Source organism: Homo sapiens, chromosome 22, assembly GCF_000001405.40.
Source record: "Homo sapiens chromosome 22, GRCh38.p14 Primary Assembly".
Lineage (NCBI taxonomy): Eukaryota > Metazoa > Chordata > Mammalia > Primates > Hominidae > Homo > Homo sapiens.
In genome coordinates, this window is record NC_000022.11 from 31,900,491 (window position 1) to 31,917,824 (window position 17,334).

At 50.4% G+C, this 17,334-nt stretch overlaps 1 protein-coding gene across 30 annotated transcripts in view, besides 2 other annotated features; it reads left to right on the plus strand.

The window, feature by feature from the left end:
* The window catches only part of DEPDC5 (DEP domain containing 5, GATOR1 subcomplex subunit), a 154,066-nt gene extending 146,523 nt beyond the window's left edge, over positions 1-7,543 (plus strand). For 21 of the 30 annotated variants that reach the window (NR_157126.2, NR_157125.2, NM_001364318.2 and 18 more), the window contains 3 exons: positions 1,252-1,312; positions 5,494-5,576; positions 5,715-7,543. Coding sequence is in view for 25 of the 30 variants with exons in the window: in NM_001364318.2 (NP_001351247.1) it covers positions 1,252-1,312; positions 5,494-5,576; positions 5,715-6,007 (437 nt within the window). In the remaining 5 variants the exon portion in view is untranslated. The remainder of the gene's footprint in view (positions 1-1,251; positions 1,313-5,493; positions 5,577-5,714) is intronic. The other 9 variants (NR_146296.2, NR_157128.1, NR_110988.2 and 6 more) reach the window with 1 other exon arrangement.
* Positions 11,679-12,178: an enhancer, noted in NCBI's record as "H3K27ac hESC enhancer chr22:32308155-32308654 (GRCh37/hg19 assembly coordinates)". NCBI's record gives its function as "activates a minimal SCP1, AML or CMV promoter by ChIP-STARR-seq in primed H9 embryonic stem cells {active_cell/tissue: H9 hESC(primed)}" and the evidence as "EXISTENCE:reporter gene assay evidence [ECO:0000049][PMID:30033119]".
* Positions 16,480-16,980: an enhancer, noted in NCBI's record as "H3K4me1 hESC enhancer chr22:32312956-32313456 (GRCh37/hg19 assembly coordinates)". NCBI's record gives its function as "activates a minimal SCP1, AML or CMV promoter by ChIP-STARR-seq in naive H9 embryonic stem cells {active_cell/tissue: H9 hESC(naive)}" and the evidence as "EXISTENCE:reporter gene assay evidence [ECO:0000049][PMID:30033119]".

A 17,334-nucleotide genomic window follows, 5' to 3' on the forward strand; every position in this document is an offset into this window, starting at 1 on the left:
CACTTTGGGAGGCCGAGGCAGGCAGATCACCTGAGGTCAGCAGTTCAAGACCAGCCTGGCCAACATGTTGAAACTCCATCTTTACTAAAAACACAAAAATTAGCTGGGCGCTGTGGCACATGCCTGTAACCCCAGCTACTCGGGAGGCTGAGGCAGGAGAATCACTTGAGCCTGGGAGGCAGAGGTTGTGGTGAGCCGAGATCGTGCCATTGCACTCCAGCCTGGGCAACAAGAGCAAAACTTCCTCTCAAAAAGAAAAAAAAAAGTGGGGGTAGTAGTTGTTCCTTAGAAGCAGCTTACATGGTCCAGGCACAGTGGCTCATGCCTGTAATCCCAGCACTTTGAGAGGCAGAGGTGGGAGGATCACTTGAGGCCAGGAGTTTGAGACCAGCTTGGACAACATAGTGAGATGCCATCTCTACAAAAAGATTTAAAAATTAAAAATTTTTAAAAATGTAGAAATTAGTTGGGGCCGGGCACAGTGGCTCACGCCTGTAATCCCAGCACTTTGGGAGGCCGACGCAGGCGGATCACTTGAGGTCAGGAGTTCAAGACCAGACTGGCCAACATGGTAAAACCCCGTCTCTACTTAAAATACAAAAGTTAGCCGGGTGTGGTGGCATGTGCCTCTAATCCCAGCTACTCGGGAGGCTGAGGCATGAGAATCACTTGAACCCGGCAGGCCGAGGTTGCAGTGAGCCAAGATCGCACCACTGCATTCCAGCCTGGGTGACCAAGCAAGACTCTCCCTCAAAAAAAAAAAAAAAAAAATTAGTTGGCCATAGTGGTGCATGTCTGTGGTCCTAGCTACTTGGGAGATTAAGGTAGGAGGATCACTTGAGCTCGGGAATTCAAGGCTTCAGTGAGCTATGACCATGGCAACTAACATGCATTTACAGTTTATCTTCTGTTTGTACTTTAATATCATGCTCCTTTCAGCTTTGGGTATAAGAAGTCATTCGAATGAGCCTTATATTGAGTTCTGGTAGCTCACACTGACTGCTGAGGACTTCACCTTCCTAGACCCAGCTATAGCTTGCTTGGGGGAAGGGATGGTGTGAACACACAGCTGTCCTTTCTTTGACCCTTGGGATGGAGGCCAGTCTTTCTCAAAGGGCGTAGTATGGAGAAGCAGAGGTTAGGCTCAAGGGGACTGATTGCCAAGAGTAGTAAAGGGTACAGAAGACTGGCCCAGAGAGAATTACAAACCTTGTGATCACAACCCAATATTTATTCTTATTTTCCTTTCAGGCTTTGAACCCGAAACGTACTGGGATCGAATGCACCTCTTCCAGGAAGCCATTGCACACAGGTTTGTCCCTTAGCAAGTGTGAAGAGTGGGAAGGAAATCAGTGTTTATCTTGAATAGCAGTTACCAAAGTGAAACTCATTTTTTTAGCTCCTAGAGAAAGGGATGTATTCCACCAATGGCAAATTCACTGCTTATCTCCAACAGGACTCTTTACATTGGTTTTTGAGATAAGCGCTGCCTCCCTGTTTCCTGTAACTATTGTTTTTCAGACCTCATTATTTTCTTCTTCCAGTTGAGTGGAGAACATAGAACTCTCTCCTTAGCCTCCAACAAGACCCTAGGCCAAGCTATTCAGGAAATAATATAAAATGAAAAATTAAAAAATGTGTCAAGAGCCCAACACAGGTTGAAAAGACAATGAATGGTTAAAAAGCAATAGATGAGTCAGTAGATATTTCTTGGCACCTAATATGTGTGCCAGGGAAAGCCTGTCCTAGACTTCACTGTCTCCCACTAGACTAGTCCAGCCGACTGTGTTGTCTCCAAACATCACCAGCCTGGTATCTGATGGCCACTTCATGTTAGTCATGGTAAAAACAAAGCCCCTTGTTCTTGCTTTGGTAATCCTCTCATTACACCTTCTCCAGTATCCTGTCATCTCCTTATTATATATATATATATATATATATATATACTTATATATACTCATACAACCACAGGACTATTTAGCCTCTCACACCCACGATGGCCCCAGCTTACCTTAGACCTTCGTCTAAGGTCTACCCCTTCACAGACCTAGCTCAGGTGCTTAGCAAAGACTGTGGAATGAAGGCAAGGGTGGCTGATTTCCTCCTTCCACTAACAGTGGGTGGTGCAGATTCAGGGCAGAAGGTAGAGAGTGCAGCAGTCAATGGGAAAGGGCCTTGATGTACGAAGTAGACAGGCCTTATCCACTCCCACCTCCACCAGCATCTGGCTGAGGAACCATGAGCAATTCTGGAACTGGTGAGCCTCCATTTTCTTACCCCTCACGGGGAAGCTGGGAGGGTTCTCTGATGTTCTGGAGAGCCCGGTGATGCACCTAGTGAGCCCTCAGTAGACAGCAGTCACCAGGGGGGACCCTGCTAACTCACGAGTTTCTAAGTAGCTCTTACCCTGCTTGCCCTGCTGGCAGGATGTCACTCAGAACGTGGCCTTTATTTGTTAAATCTGCTTTTTTCCTTCACTGCATCCTCCTCCTGATCCCCCTCAGTCCAGATCCTGGTCTATCTTCCCAGGAACTATTGTACTTTCCTCCTCAGCCAGCTTTTTCTACCACAGATACCCTCACCTGTTTTCTGACCAGTCCTCTGCATCATTGTACCAGTGTGCTGCAGTGTGCTCCTTACCTAAACCCCCAACCTTCCACACCTAAACCCCCACCTTCTGTACCTCTACGTTCCACACCTAACCCCCCTCCACCTTCCACACCTAACCCCCCTCCACCTTCCACACCTAACCCCCCTCCACCTTCCACACCTAAACCCCCCTACGTTCCACACCTAAACCCCCCCACCTTCCACACGTAAACCCCCTCCACCTTCCACACGTAAACCCCCGCCTTCCACACCTATTCCCCCCACCTTCCACACCTAAACCCCCCCACCTTCCACACCTAAATCCCCCTACCTTCCACACCTAACCCCCCCAACTTTCCACACCTAAACCCCCCACCTTCCACACCTAAACCCCCTCACCTTCCACACCTAAACTCCCCCACCTTCCTCACCTAAACCCTTCCACCTTCCACACCTACCCTCCCCCCATCTTCCACACCTACCCTCCCCCCACCTTCCACACCTAAACCCCCCCTTATACACGTAAACTCCCTCACCTTCCACACCTAAACCCCCCACCTTCCACACCTAAAGCCCCCCACCTTCCACAACTAAACCCCTCCACCTTCCACACCTAAGCCCCCCCACCTTCCACACCTAACCTCTCCCACCTTTCACACTTAAACCTCTCCCCTGTTCCACACCTGTCAGAATCTTCCTCCAGGGATTCCCAAATGTTTCCTCTCTGAATTCCTCTTTCCCTTTCTTTCAAAACACTCTGAATGTATTCCAGTGACTTGGGGGCCCTTGGAGGGCAGGGGTATGCTTTTTCCTATTTGTGTTTCCTTCTATAATGCCTAGCAAGGTGCCTGCCTAGAGTAGTTTCATATGTAGCTTTTGCATAGGGTGGAGCTTTAAGTGCAACTGTGGCTCTAAATGACACATCAGCCCACCCATAAGGTCCATCTCAGAAAGAGCTAAAAAAGTGTCCATCTTCCTCAGCCCCTAGGCTGTGACCTACAGCTCCTCCTTCATCTTCCTCAGCCCCTAGGCTGTGACCTACAGCTCCTCCTTCATCTTCCTCAGCCCCTAGGCTGTGACCTACCGCTCCTCCTTCATCTTCCTCAGCCCCTAGGCTGTGACCTACAGCTCCTCCTTCATCTTCCTTGGGGCAGGTGGAGATGATTATATCCCCTCCCCTGCCCTTACTGCGTTTCTGTCTTGCATTCTCCCTGAGTGGACAGTCAGGTGGCCAGGAACCATGTGGTTAAATTGCCTTTTTGTTCTTTCCTGGTGACCTAAGGAAGAAATGAGGTAAAAAAAAATTACTCTGGTAAAAAAAAATCAGGCTGATCCATGCTGAGGAAATCAGTAGCCTTAATTAGAAAGTAGAGAGAAAGCAGGCTGGGTGTGGTGGCTCACGCCTGTAATCCCAGCAGTTTGGGAGGCCGAAGCAGGCGGATCACCTGAGGTCAGCAGTTCAAGACCAGCCTGGCCAAAATGGTGAAACCCCGTCTCTACTAAAAATACAAAAATTAACTGGTCATGGTGGCGCGTGCCTGTAATCCTAGCTACTTGGGAGGCTGGAAGCACAAGAATTGCTTGAACCCGGGAGGTGGAGGTTGCGGTGAGCCAAGATTGTACCACTGCAGTCCAGCCTGGATGACAGAGCAAGAGTAGAGAGGATTTTGCAAAGGCAAAATCCAGAGCCAATCCTCATCATATAATCAGCCTGTAGACAGGGAGCTTACAGTGCATAGTAGCCTACCCATTTAGTTTGCATATTTGACTTCATGTATTCTTTGGTAAAAAATTATGGAATGCAGATTATGTAGAGGATACAACACAGCACCTCCCCAAGGAACTCAGTCCAGGAAAGAAGACAGGCATTTTCCCTTCTTTAGTTCTGCCTACATCACTGTCTCCATTATATAAACCCCTCAGACTTAGAGGGCAGGAGCCACATCTGTTACCACGTCCTTTACAGCTCTTAGCAGGTAGAACTGTAATAAATGTGCCTTATGGAAATAGAAAAACCAGGAATAGAACAAGCCATAGATGAAAAATGGCTCCTCCTGCCCATTTCCAGAGCACAGGGAAGCAGAGAGCCCCAGCTTGGCGTTCCTCTTTTTTTTTCTTTTTGAGATGGAGTCTCGCCCTGTCACCCAGGCTGGAGTGCAATGGCATGATCTTAGCTCACTGCAGCCTCCGCCTCCCGGATTCAAGTGATTCTCCTGGCTAATTCCAGAACAATCCTGGCTAATACAAAAATTAGCCAGGCATGGTGGCACATGCCTGTAATCCCAGCTACTCAGGAGACTGAGGCGGAGAATCACTTGAACCCAGGAGGCAGAGGTTGCAGTGAGCCGAGATCATGCCATTGCACTCCAGTCTGGGCAACAGTGCGAGATTCCCTCTCACCAAAAAAAAAGATAAGGACCTTCCCTGGAGGAATGGATAGCCTCGAGTATGCGGGTGGGTATGTGTGGCCTGTCAAGACATGAGGTAGATTCCAGTGAGAGGCCCAGGATGGGATGGGGGAGAACGCTCAGTGGGAAGGTCTGCTGGGATGGGTAGGGAACATGGTAGGAGGGACGGGCTGTCTGAGCAGAGATGAAGGCTGGATGAAGAGTGCAGCCGGTGGGAAGGCTTTCTTTCACTATGGTGGTAGTGACATGGTGGACCACGGAGATGACGGGCTGCTGGGTGTGAGGAGGTCTGGTAAGCCATGGTGTTGGAAGAGGTAGAGGTCAGAAAGTGGTGAGGGTGAGGACAAAAATAAGCAGCCTGCATGTGCAATCTGGAAAGAGATCTTTCCAGATCTCTGTGTCTCAGGCTGTCCGAGAGTCCTATCAGCTACATTCTCTTCCCTTGCCCCTTTAACTAAGGAGGCGCTGATTAGCATGTCTTCCTGTCCTTCCCTAGGTTTGGGTTTGTACAAGATAAATATTCTGCCTCTGCTTTTAACTTCCCTGCTGAGAACAAGCCTCAGTATATCCACGTTACAGGTGAGGAGCTACGGGCAGAGTTGGGCAGGTGGGTCCACATCCCTTTCCTTGCACCAAGCCTATGGCTGCAGAACCACCTCAGCAGGCTCCAGGAGCCCTCCTGGTGGCTGCCACACAGGCGCTCCCCTTTCTCTTCAGGAACAGTGTTTCTGCAGCTGCCCTACTCCAAGCGCAAGTTCTCAGGGCAGCAGCGGCGGCGGCGGAACTCCACCAGCTCCACCAACCAGAACATGTTCTGCGAGGAGCGGGTCGGCTACAACTGGGCCTACAACACCATGCTCACCAAAACATGGCGCTCCAGCGCCACAGGGGATGAAAAGTTTGCTGATCGGCTGCTGAAGGACTTCACGGACTTCTGCATCAACCGTGACAACCGGCTGGTCACGTTCTGGACAAGTTGCCTGGAGAAGATGCATGCCAGTGCCCCGTGAGGCCAGGCTGCACCTGTGCTGGGGGAAGGTGGGTGAGCCACTGCCCTCAAACCCGGGGCGGAGGATTCCAGGCAGGCTCTAGGAGTCAGGTGTCCGTTTGCTGCTATCAGTGAGTGGGGGCCATTGTTTTTTGTTTGTTTGTTTGTTTGTTTGTTTGTTTTTGGCCCCCACGACAAGTCTTCTACTCTAGAAGAAAGACTTTGGAAGCAGCTGCTGCTGCTGCCACCACTCCTGTCAGCAAGTGCTCAGAGCAGGTGGGAGGCACAGATTGTCCGTGGGAGGGCTCCAGTGTCTGGGAAGAGGGCAGGCGGCCCCCATGAATGTCCTCGGAAGGGGGTGGCTCCTGGTAGCATCCTTTTCCTTCACCATCTATGGGATATTAGGGGCAGAATCTGCCACTTCTTGCCCAGGAGTGTGCACAGATGTAAGATAATTTTGTGAAATAATGTACCATAGACTCTCACCAACTGTATATACCTGTACATATCAGAAGCAAATAAAGAGCTCCACGTGCATCATTTCTTTCCCCACCCAGTTCCCCACAGAAGCAGTCCCATCCTGGGCTGGGCAGTTGTGCCAGGTGGCCGGGGTCATGGCAGTCAATGAAGTGGTCACAGATGGTGAGAGGGCTTCAGAATTCACTGGCTTAGAGTCTGGCTGGGAGTTTATTGAGAGATTTCTTTCATAGGCCACTGGGCAGGAGCAAGGATGGTTCCAGTGAGGACAGTGAGCAGGCAGTATAACTTACAAGGTAACTGCAGGCTCATGCTGTCAGAATGAATCTTGCTAAATGGGTGAGCTCAGCTCTGGGACGCAGATATGATGGCATTCTGAAAAAAATCAAAGGAAACATTTTGTAGACTCTAACTTAGGTTTTTTTTGTTGTTGTTTTTTTTGTTGTTTTTTTTGACACAGTTTTCACTCTTGTTGCCCAGGCTGGAGTGCAATGGTGTGATCTCAGCTCACTACAACCTCTGCCTCCTGGGTTCAAGCGATTCTCCTGTCTCGGCCTCCCGAGTAGCTGGGATTACAGGCACCTGCCACCATACCAGGCTAATTTTTTGTATTTTAAGTAGAGATGGGGTTTCACCATGTTGGCCAGGCTGGTCTTGAACTCCTCACCTCAGGCGATCCACCCACCTCAGCCTCCCAAAGTGCTGGGATTACAGGTGTGAGCCACCATGCCCGGCCTAACTTAGATTTGCTGAGATAAGACTCAGCTTGGTGCTTCACCTCAGCACCCTGCCTTAAGCTACTCAGGGCAGTTCAGGAGCTGTGGGTCAGAGGGGAGAATCCGACAGTGACTGCCACTTCTTGCTGTGCCATCTCACCACGTGGAGTTCATCACAAGCTCTGTTGATTTGCCTCCTCAATGGCTTTGCATCCATTCTCTTCTTCCCAGGCCCTGAGCTGCCACTCAGTCCAGCCTTCCTTTGTCTTTCTCTTAGATCCCCAGGAAAACCTTCTAATTTGTCTCTGCTTTCACTCCACTTGTCAGTCAGTCTTTTTATAAAACCACTGTGATTTTGCCCACCACTTAACTAGAACTTTTTGGTGACTTGAACTTCAAAAATCTTAGATGCAGCCCACATGGTCCTGCACAGTCTGGTCTGGTGGGCTGTTTGTACAGCCACCCTGGCCATCACACAGTCCCTGGAACATCACAAACTCTGCACCAGCTCAGACGCTTTGCACTTGCTGTTCCCTCTGTTCCATCTGCCTGGAACATGCCTCCCTCCATGCCCGCTCTGTCTCACTAACTCCTGGTGGTCAGCCATCAGCTCTTAGCTCAACTGTCACTTCTCCAGAGAAGCAGAGTTGGCCCTGTTACATCCTCCCACAGCACTTTGTACTTCTCCAGCATGGTACTCAACATGTTTACACTCTACCATGGCAGAAGCTTCTTTTTTTTTCTTTCTTTCTTTTTTTTTTTTTTTTTTTTTTGAGACATAGTCCGGCTCTGTCACCCAGGCTGGAATACAGTGGTGCGATCTCAGCTCACTGCAAGCTCCGCCTCCAGGTTCATGCCATTCTCCTGCCTCAGCCTCCCGAGTAGCTGGGACTATAGGCGCCCGCCACCATGCCCGGCTAATTTTTTGTATTTTTAGTAGAGACGGGGTTTCACCGTGTTAGCCAGGATGGTCTCGATCTCTTGACCTTGTGATCCACCCGCCTCGGCCTTCCAAAGTGCTGGGATTACAGGCGTGAGCCACCGTGCCCAGCCAAAGCTTCTCTATTTTGTTCATCTTTTTGTTCCCAAGTGTACATGATAATAGTAGATGTTGGAGAAATGGTTGTTGACTGAATGTATAGTAACTGAATGAACTTTGGATTCCAGGGCTGGGAACTGGATATTTTTTTTTTTTTTTTTTTAGAGACGGAGTCTTCCTCTGTCACCCAGGCTGGAGTGCAGTGGCTCACTGCAGCCTTCGCCTCCGGTTCAAGGTTCAAGCGATTCTCCTGCCTCAGCCTCCTGAGTAACTGGGACTACAGGCGCACATCACCACGCCTGGTTAATTTTTGTATTTTTAGTAGAGATGGGGTTTCACCGTGTTGGCCAGGATGGTCTCGATCCACTGACCTCATGATCCACCCTCCTCGGCCTCCCAAAGTGCTGGGATTACAGGCGTGAGCCACCGCGCCTGGCCTGGGCACTGGATTTTACATCTGAGTCTCCACCTTCCTAGCTAGGCTCCTTAGTTACTTCACAGAACTTGAACTTATTTAGAACTTAAAACGTGGCTATGGATGCTGCATGTAATGATTTTGAGAGAATAGGTTTGTTAATATATGTGAAAGAGCCCTGGATAATTCCTGGAAATGGAGCAGGCCTTTGATAAAAACCTGTTTTCTTTTCCTTTTTCACCTTCCCTTTTCTAAGATATGTAAATCCCCTCATCTATGAAATGGGAAGCTATCTCCTTGGGTGGTTGGAGAATCAGAAGACACATGTAGCTGGGCACGGTCGGCCCACACCTGTAATCCCAACACTTTGGGAGACTGAGATGGGAGGATCACTTGAGCCCAGGAATTTGAGATCAGCCTGAGCAACATAGGAAGACCCCGTCGCTACAAAAAAAATGAATAAATAAAATAAAATAAATAAAAAATTAGCTTGGGGCCGGGTGCAGTGACTCATGCCTGTAATCCTAACACTTTGTGAGGCCGAGGTGGTCGGATCATGTGAGGTCAGGAATTTGATACTATCCTGGCCAACATGATGAAACCCCATCTCTATGAAAAATACAAAAATTAGCCAGGCGTGGTGGTGTGCACCTATAATCCCAGCTACTTGGGAGGCTGAGGCAGGAGAACCATTTGAACCCGGGAGATGGAGGTTGCAGTGAACCGAGATTGTGCTACTGCACTCCAGCCTGGGCGACAGAGCAAGACTCCGTCTAAGAAAAAACAAAAGTTAGCTGGACATGGTGGCTCACACCTGTCATCCCAGCTACGTGAGAGGCTGAGGTGGGAAGGTCGCTTGAACTCAGGAGGTCTGCAATGAGCTGTGATTGCACCACTGCACTCCAGCCTGGGTGACAGAGCAAGACCTTATCTCAAAAAAAAAAGGCCACGTATATGAAAGGTCTTACAAAAAGACAGTAAGCAAATGTCTGCTCTCAAACAGCTGAACAGCTGCTCTCACATTCCTGGATGGGAGTCTCCATTGTGCTCTCAAGCCATTGAGTGATGGTGCTGGACACAGCAAACGCTGGCCTGTTCAGATCACATACGAACTGAACAATCACTTGTGATCCTCAGTGTCCTGTGTGTGAGGCCAAAACTGCCCCTGCAATTGCCCAGCAGAAGGCCCACAGAATGATTTGGTGGAAGAAGGGGCGGCTGGTGCGTTAGGATGCTGGGTCACTCCCCCATCAGAGCGGGACCTCAAACTTTCCTGCCCATGAGCCCCAGTCTCCTTGCTGCCTACTTTCCTGATTCCTCCTCTCTCTGGTGGGCATCTCCTTCCACCCACTTGTCCAAGCCAGAATCTGGTAGTCAAACCCAGTGCCTTCCTCCTCCATCATCCTCCAGTCCTCCCATCCATTCATCCTGTCTCTTAGACTCATCCACCTTTTTGTAGGTACAAAGCTCAGCCCACAGGGAATCTGTGGGTTTGGTCAGACATGGAGGACATGTGCATGCCGATCAGAAGCCTATCACCAGATTATACAGGCCAGGTGCGGTGGCTCACGACTGTAATCCCAGCACTTTGGAAGGCCAAGATCATCTGAAGTCAGGAGTTTGAGACCAGCCTGGCGAACATGGTGAAACCCCATCTCTACTAAAAATACAAAAGTTAGGGCCGGCCACGGTGGCTTACGCCTGTAATTCCAGCACTTTGGGAGGCCAAGGTGGGTGGATCACCTGAGGTCAGGAGTTCGAGACCAGCCTAGCCAACATGGTAAAACCCTGTCTCTACTAAAAATACAAAAGTTAGGGCTGGGCGCAGTGGCTCACACCTGTAATTCCAACACTTTGGGAGGCCAGGGCGGGTGGATCAAGAGGTCAAGAGATCGAGACCATCCTGGCCGACATGGTGAAACCCCATCTCTACTAAAAATACAAAAATTAGCTGGGCGTGGTGGTGCGTGCCTGTAGTCCCAGCTACTCGGGCGGCTGAGGCAGGAGAATTGCTTGAACTCGGGAGGCAGAGGTTGCAGTGAGCTGAGATCACACCACTGCACTCCAGCCTGGGCGATGGAACAAGACTCTGTCTCAAAAAAAAAAAAAAAATTCAAAAACTAGCCAGGCATGGTGGCGGGCGCCTGTAATCTGAGCTACTCAGGAGGCTGAGGCGGGAGAATCACTTGAACCTGGGAGGCAGAGGTTGCAGTGAGCCGAGATCGCATCACTGCACTCCAGCCTGGGCGACAGGGAGACCCTGTCTCAAAAAAAAAAAAGGAAGGGATACATGATGTATGCCAGAGACACTGCGCAAATCTGTGAGGCCTTGCTGAAGCAGATAGCGAATACTGGGAGGGAATGCTGAATAGAAGCCATTTTACAGGCCTCTTCAGTTACCCAGAAAAGTTCAGAAAAACACAGAATAACAATGGTCACTCCATTGAGTGCTTCCTGTGTCCTGGGCAATGTGTCATACACCTTTTCATTGCATGATCTTTGTTGTTGTTGTTGAGACGAGATCTTGCTCTGTTGCCCAGGCTGGAATGCAGTGGCAGAATCTTGGTTCACTGCAACCTCTGCCTCCCAAGTTCAAGCAATTCTCCTGCCTCAGCCTCCCCAGTAGCTGGGACTACAAGGGCATGCCACCACATCCAGCTAATTTTTGTAATTTTAGTAGAGACAGGGTTTCACCATATTGGTCAGTCTGATCTCGGACTTCTGACCTCAAATGATCCACCCACCTCGGCCTCTCAAAGTGCTGGGATTGCAGGCATGGGACACTGCACCTGACTCATTGTATAATCTTATCAACATACCAGCTGAGGGGTGGAAGGCCCCAGGAAGTAGGGTCCACGCCCATACGCTAACAAACAGCTGGACTGGGAATCAGGTTCATGGGAATCAGCCCAGTCACCACCAACTGTGCTGCCCTCTTCACCTTTTTGTGGTGCTGTATCAATGAGATGCCACCCACTGCTCCATCCTGGGTTCCTGCCTGGGGACCCCTTCGTTCCTTTCAACTGACTGCCTTACGTGTATGGTGAATCTCTGCATGGGTACAGATGCAGTGTAACATGTAGACATGGCCTCATATACAGGTTCTCTGGTAGGGAATGGGCAGTGACTCAGTGACTTTGAGGCAGGACCAGTGGCCTTTCCTCCCTGCCAGGCTTCTATCTGGAAGGCACTGTGTGTGCCCTCTCTTCTGGTCTGCAGCTGTGGCTTCAGCCTGCAAGTGCTTCAGGCAGCTCCTGGCCTTCAGACTGTGCCACACACTTGCCCTAAACCTGGCCTGAAATGCCTGGGATGTAGCATTTGCATGTAGCAAAAGCTGGTGCCGAGTACTGAGTCCTACCAGCCTTCAGATTTGACCTCCATCTGCTTCTCTGGCTGCAGCAAGATTCCTGTTTCCTCAGTGAATCAGCACATAGTCCTTCCAACAAGAAAATCTCTTTTCCCATGGGGATGAGGGGAGATGGGGAATTGCTATGCAATCTCTGGAAAAGTCTTTTCTCCCTGAGCCCCAGAATTTTCATCTGAACTCATCTGGGAGAAACATTGGGGACCATAAGATTATATATAGACTTTTTCCTTTCTCAACCAACAGGATGGATGAGTGCTGAGGGGGGAATTCCAGTCTGTTTCAGTCCCACAGTTGCCACTGGAACGCAATTTCTTGCCTCTTCTCTGTGCTCTTTTTTTTTTTTCTCTCAGAGATACAGGGTCTCCCTCTGTTGTTCAGGCTGGAGTGCAGTGGCACTATCACAGCTCACTGCCACCCTGAACTCAGTCTCAAGCAATCCTCTCAGCTCAGCCCCCCTGAGTAGCTGGGACTACAGGCGTGCACCACCACGCCCAGCTAATTAAAAAAAAAAAAAAAAAAAAAAAAAAAAGGCCTGGCGCAGTGGCTCACGCCTGTAATCCCAGCACTTTGGGAGGCCGAGGTGAGTGGATCATGAGGTCAAGAGATCGAGACCATCCTGGCCAACATGGTGAAACCCCGTCTCTACTAAAAATACAAAAATTAGCCTGGCATGGTGGCAGGCACCTGTAATCCCAGCTATTTGGGAGGCTGCGACAGGAGAATCACTTGAACCAGGGAGGCGGAGGTTGCAGTGAGCCGAGATCATGCCATTGCACTCCAGCCTGGGCGAAAAGAGCGAAACTCCGTCTAAAAAAAAAATATTATAGAGACGGGATTCTTGCTATGTTGCCCAAGTAGTCTCAAAATTCTGGCCTCAAGAGATCCTCCTGCCGATCGAGACCATCCTGGCTAACACGATGAAAAGCCGTCTCTACTAAAAATACAAAAAAAATTAGCCAGGCATGCTCGTGGGCACCTGTAGTCCCAGCTACTCTGGAGGCAGAGGCAGGAGAATGGCGTGAACCCAGGAGGCAGAGCTTGCAGTGAGTCAAGATCACACCACTGCACTCCAGCCTGGGCAACAGAGCAAGACTCCGTCTCAAAAAAAAAAAAAAAGAGATCCTCCTGCCTCAGCGTCCCAAAGCACTGGGATTACAGGCCTGAGCCACCATGCCTGGCTGTCTCTCTGCTCTATGCTTTTTTTTTTTTTTTTTTTTTTTGAGACAGGGTCTCACTCTGTCACCCAGGCTGGAGCACAGTGGCACAACCTTGGCTGACTGCAACCTGCACCTCCCGGGTTCAAGCGATTCTTGTGCCTCAGCCTCCTGAGTACCTGGAGCCACCATGCCTGGCTAATTTTTGGTTTTTTTTTTTTTGTGGAGACAGAATTTTGCCATGTTAGCCAGGCTGTTCTTGAACTCCTGGCCTCAAGTGATCCTCCCACCTCAGCCTCTCAAACTGCTGGGATTACAGGTGTGAGCCACTGTGCCCAGCCTCTAGTGAGTACTTCTAAAAAACCTACAATGCTCAGGATAGACCTTACAGCAAAGAATTATCCAGCCTCCAATGTCAATCGTGTCAGCTTCAGACACCATGAACTAGACTGTGGTCAGGTAAGAGGCTTAGACGGGGGGACTCCCTCCCTCCTGTGACTTTGGAAGAAGAGGCACCTGTCACTTGCCCCTTCCTGTGATCTGAATCCAATGGCAGCCCCATCGTCAATCTATAGGAATTACTCTTGCTGGGTTCCAAGGCCAGAGTGGCTAAGAAGCCTGCTTAGAGGCTTCCAGCAAGTTACGGGCAGCACCAGATTAGAATGCTGGCCATATTGAGTGCTCACTTGCTGGGACATGGCTTCTGTGTTTCCTTCCACTTTCCTTGTTCACGTACCTTGCCTCTCCCATCGAATGTAAGCTCTTTGGAGGCAGAGAACACATCTTGCTCATCCTTGTATCCTCCACAGCAAGCACCCATCACACATTTGGTGCTTATTTAGAATTTATTGAATTCATTCATTCAGCCAACATTTATGCAAGGTTGAACCAACGTGGGCCTTGCCCTCCTCGTGGAGGGAAGCAGACATGCAAAGCAGCCACCATAGCCCTCTAGAAGAGGTCTCAGATTGGCTATCTGTAATGCAGTACAGAAACTGGCCGGGCGCTGGCCGAGCGCAGTGGCTCACACCTGTAATCTCAGCACTTTGGGAGCCCGAGGCGGGCGGATCACGAGGTCAGGAGATAAGATCTTCCTGGCTAACACTGTAAAACCCCGTCTCTACTAAAACTACAAATAAATTAGGCATGGTGGTGGGTGCCTGTAGTCCCAGCTTCTCAGGAGGCTGAGGCAGGAGAATGGCATGAACCCGGGAGGCGGAGCTTGCAGTGGGCCGAGATTGTGCCACTGCACTCCAGCCTGGGTGACGGAGCAATACTCCATCTCAAAAAAAAAAAAAAAAAAAAAGAAAAAGAAAAAGAAAGAAAGAAATTGGCCAGGTGCAGTGGCTCACGCCTGTAATCCCAGCACTTTTGGAGGCTGAGGCAGGTGGATCACTTGAGGTCAGGAGTTCGAGACCACCCTGGCCAACATGGTGAAACCCCATCTCTATCTACTAAAAATACAAAAAAAAAAAAAAAATTAGCCAAGCATAGTGGTGGGTGCCTGTAATCCCAGCTACTCGGGAGGCTGAGGCAGGAGAATCACTTGAACTCGGGAGGGGGAGTTTGCAGTGAGCCAAGATCGTACCTCCGCACTCCAGCCTGGGTGACAGAGCGAGACTTGGTCTCAAGAAAAAAAGAAATAGAGGAGGGGGCTTCAGTCTGTGTAGGGGAGCTGGGGAAGACTGGAGAAAGGGGCATTTGGGCTGGGACTTGACAGCTACATAAGAGTTCTAGCAGGTGAGGAGGATGGGGTGGGGAAGGGGATGCTGGAGGGCTGGGGGGTTTTGGCAACAGAACAGTCAGGAGAAGACGACTAAAAACTGAAAGGAAGAACTGCAGAGAGAGTTCCCCGACCTGCCTCACCCAGCCTGCCCTTTCAACAACTAGAGGTGAGTGCTGGCAAGTCCCTGGGTGCACACTGGAGCCAAAAAATGGCCCATTGTCTGGAAGCCCTGAGCCAGCCTGTCCCCTGGTGTCATGCCACACAAGGCCTTGCTCACCTGTCAGCCTTTGCTCTTCCTGGCCCCAGATGTAGGTAGAACAATGGCCTCTGAACACACCCAAGCTCCACGGTGGTAGCCGGTGTCTGATAAGACAAGTAGGGAAATGATCTCTTTCATGTTCCCTTTCTCCTCAGAATCAGAACGCTGCGCCCAGGTTCAACCTGCTGTTTCTTCACCAGGTGACCCTGCATAGGCTTTTGAAACCACCCTGACCCTCATCCGTCTAGCGACAAGATGGGAATCATCAAGACTTCGTTACGTAACTCAAGAAGTCGGTGTGAGAACCTGGGAGATAAGGGTTGTTGAGCTGGGCGCAATGGCTCATGCCTGTAATTCCAGCACTTTAGGAGGCCAAAGCAGGCAGATCACTTGAGGCCAGGAATTCGAGACTAGCCTGGCCATCATGGCAAAACCCCGTCTCTACTCAAAATACAAAAATTAGCCAGGTGTGGTGGTGCACGCCTGTAATCCCGGCTCCTCAGGAGGCTGAGGCTGAGAATCACTTGAACCCGGGAGGCGGAGGTTGCAGTGAGCCAAGATCGCACCACTGCACTCCAGCCTGGGTGACAGAGGGAGACTCTGTCTCAAAAAAAAAAAAAAGGGGGGGGTGGTGGGGCAGCATTTTGAGAACTGAGTCTGAGGAAAAGCCACTGTTACTCTTGTCTGACAATAGTGCCAACTACCTGTGATCCTGAATAAGTCCATTCACCTCACTCGACCTCAAGTTTGAGGGTACAGTGATGACGGCGTTTCTCCAGCTTTCTTTGAGGGATCATGGTGAGGACCCGAGGCAGTCAGCTTTGCAAAGGTGTCTGAGCGGTGCAGGGTGCTCCCCCATTTTAAGGCAGTGCTGTAAATGCTCCCGTAACGGAGGCCAAACATTCTGGTTTTCTATTTTATTTTATTTTCAGACAGGGTCTTGCTCTATCACCCAGGCTGGAGTGCAGTGGCGTGATCACAGCGCACTACAACCTCTGCCTCCCAGGCTCAGTTGATCCTCTCACCACAGCTTCCCGAGTAGCTGGGACTACAGGCACATGCCACCACACCCCACTAATTTTTTGTAGAGACAGGGTCTCACTATGTTGTCCAGGCTGTCTCAAACTCTTGGGCTTAAGTGATCCACCCACCTTGGGCCTGCCAAAGTGCTGGAATTACAGGCATGAGCCACCATGCTCTGCCTAAACATTTTGCTTTGAATGAGCCTAGCAGGTGTACAAGGAACATGATATACCACTAGCTAGTCTGAAGCTTGGGAAAAGAAAGAAAGCAGAAAAAAGATAACAGCAAGAGCTTATTTTGTATATTGAACCCCAAACAAGTGTGTGTCCACCAACCTGCTAGGGCCTGGGGACAGCCCTGATGGAGGTGAGTGGGGACCCCCACTTCTCAGAGGAGAAACTGAGTCTCAGGGAAGTTCAGGGACTTGCCTGGGGTTACTGAGCACACAGAGCAGAGGAGAGATCGCACCTGTCTGCATTCTCCCACCTGCTCCTAATCCCCTCCAGCCAGGCTGGGCTTTTCCTCACAATGAGATGGGGTGTGGAAGACAGAAACCCAGTGAGAGTGGCCTCTGTGGAGAGGCCGCCGTGCAGGGAAGGAGGCAGGGTGGGGCCTGGGGCCAAGCTCCCTGCACAGCCATGACAGCCATGTCCCTGGTCTCGACTCCCCAGGGTCTCCTGCTCCTGGTCACTGCACTGTTGGTGGTTGGCGCTGGGAGAACAGGAGCACTCCCTGGGTAGTCTGACACACAGGATGTGTCTCGCCTCAAAGCAGAAATGAAACCGGCACAGTTCTCCTTGTGAGACACCCCCTCGCCACTTTCGTCTCTCTCCTGCAGGAACCAGGAGAGTGGCTGCCACCACTGGAAGCCAGATTGGAGGACAACAGAGAAACTGGCCAGCTCTGGGGTCTGACCCATGCAGGGAGCTGGGTGTCCACCCCCCACTGCACACATCTTGGGATTGCTTTGTGCATACCCCCTTGGGCTGCAGGTCACAGTGATCACAAGATACTGTTCCTATTAGGTTTGATGATGTAGACTCTAAGGGAGCTGCCCCTTTATACAAGTCCCTGTGTCCCAGTGGAATCGCAGCCAGCCCATCGCCGCGGGAGGGAGATTTGTTTGTGGTTTATTCGCTCATTTGTTGTTTACAGGTTTAGTCACCGTGCTTT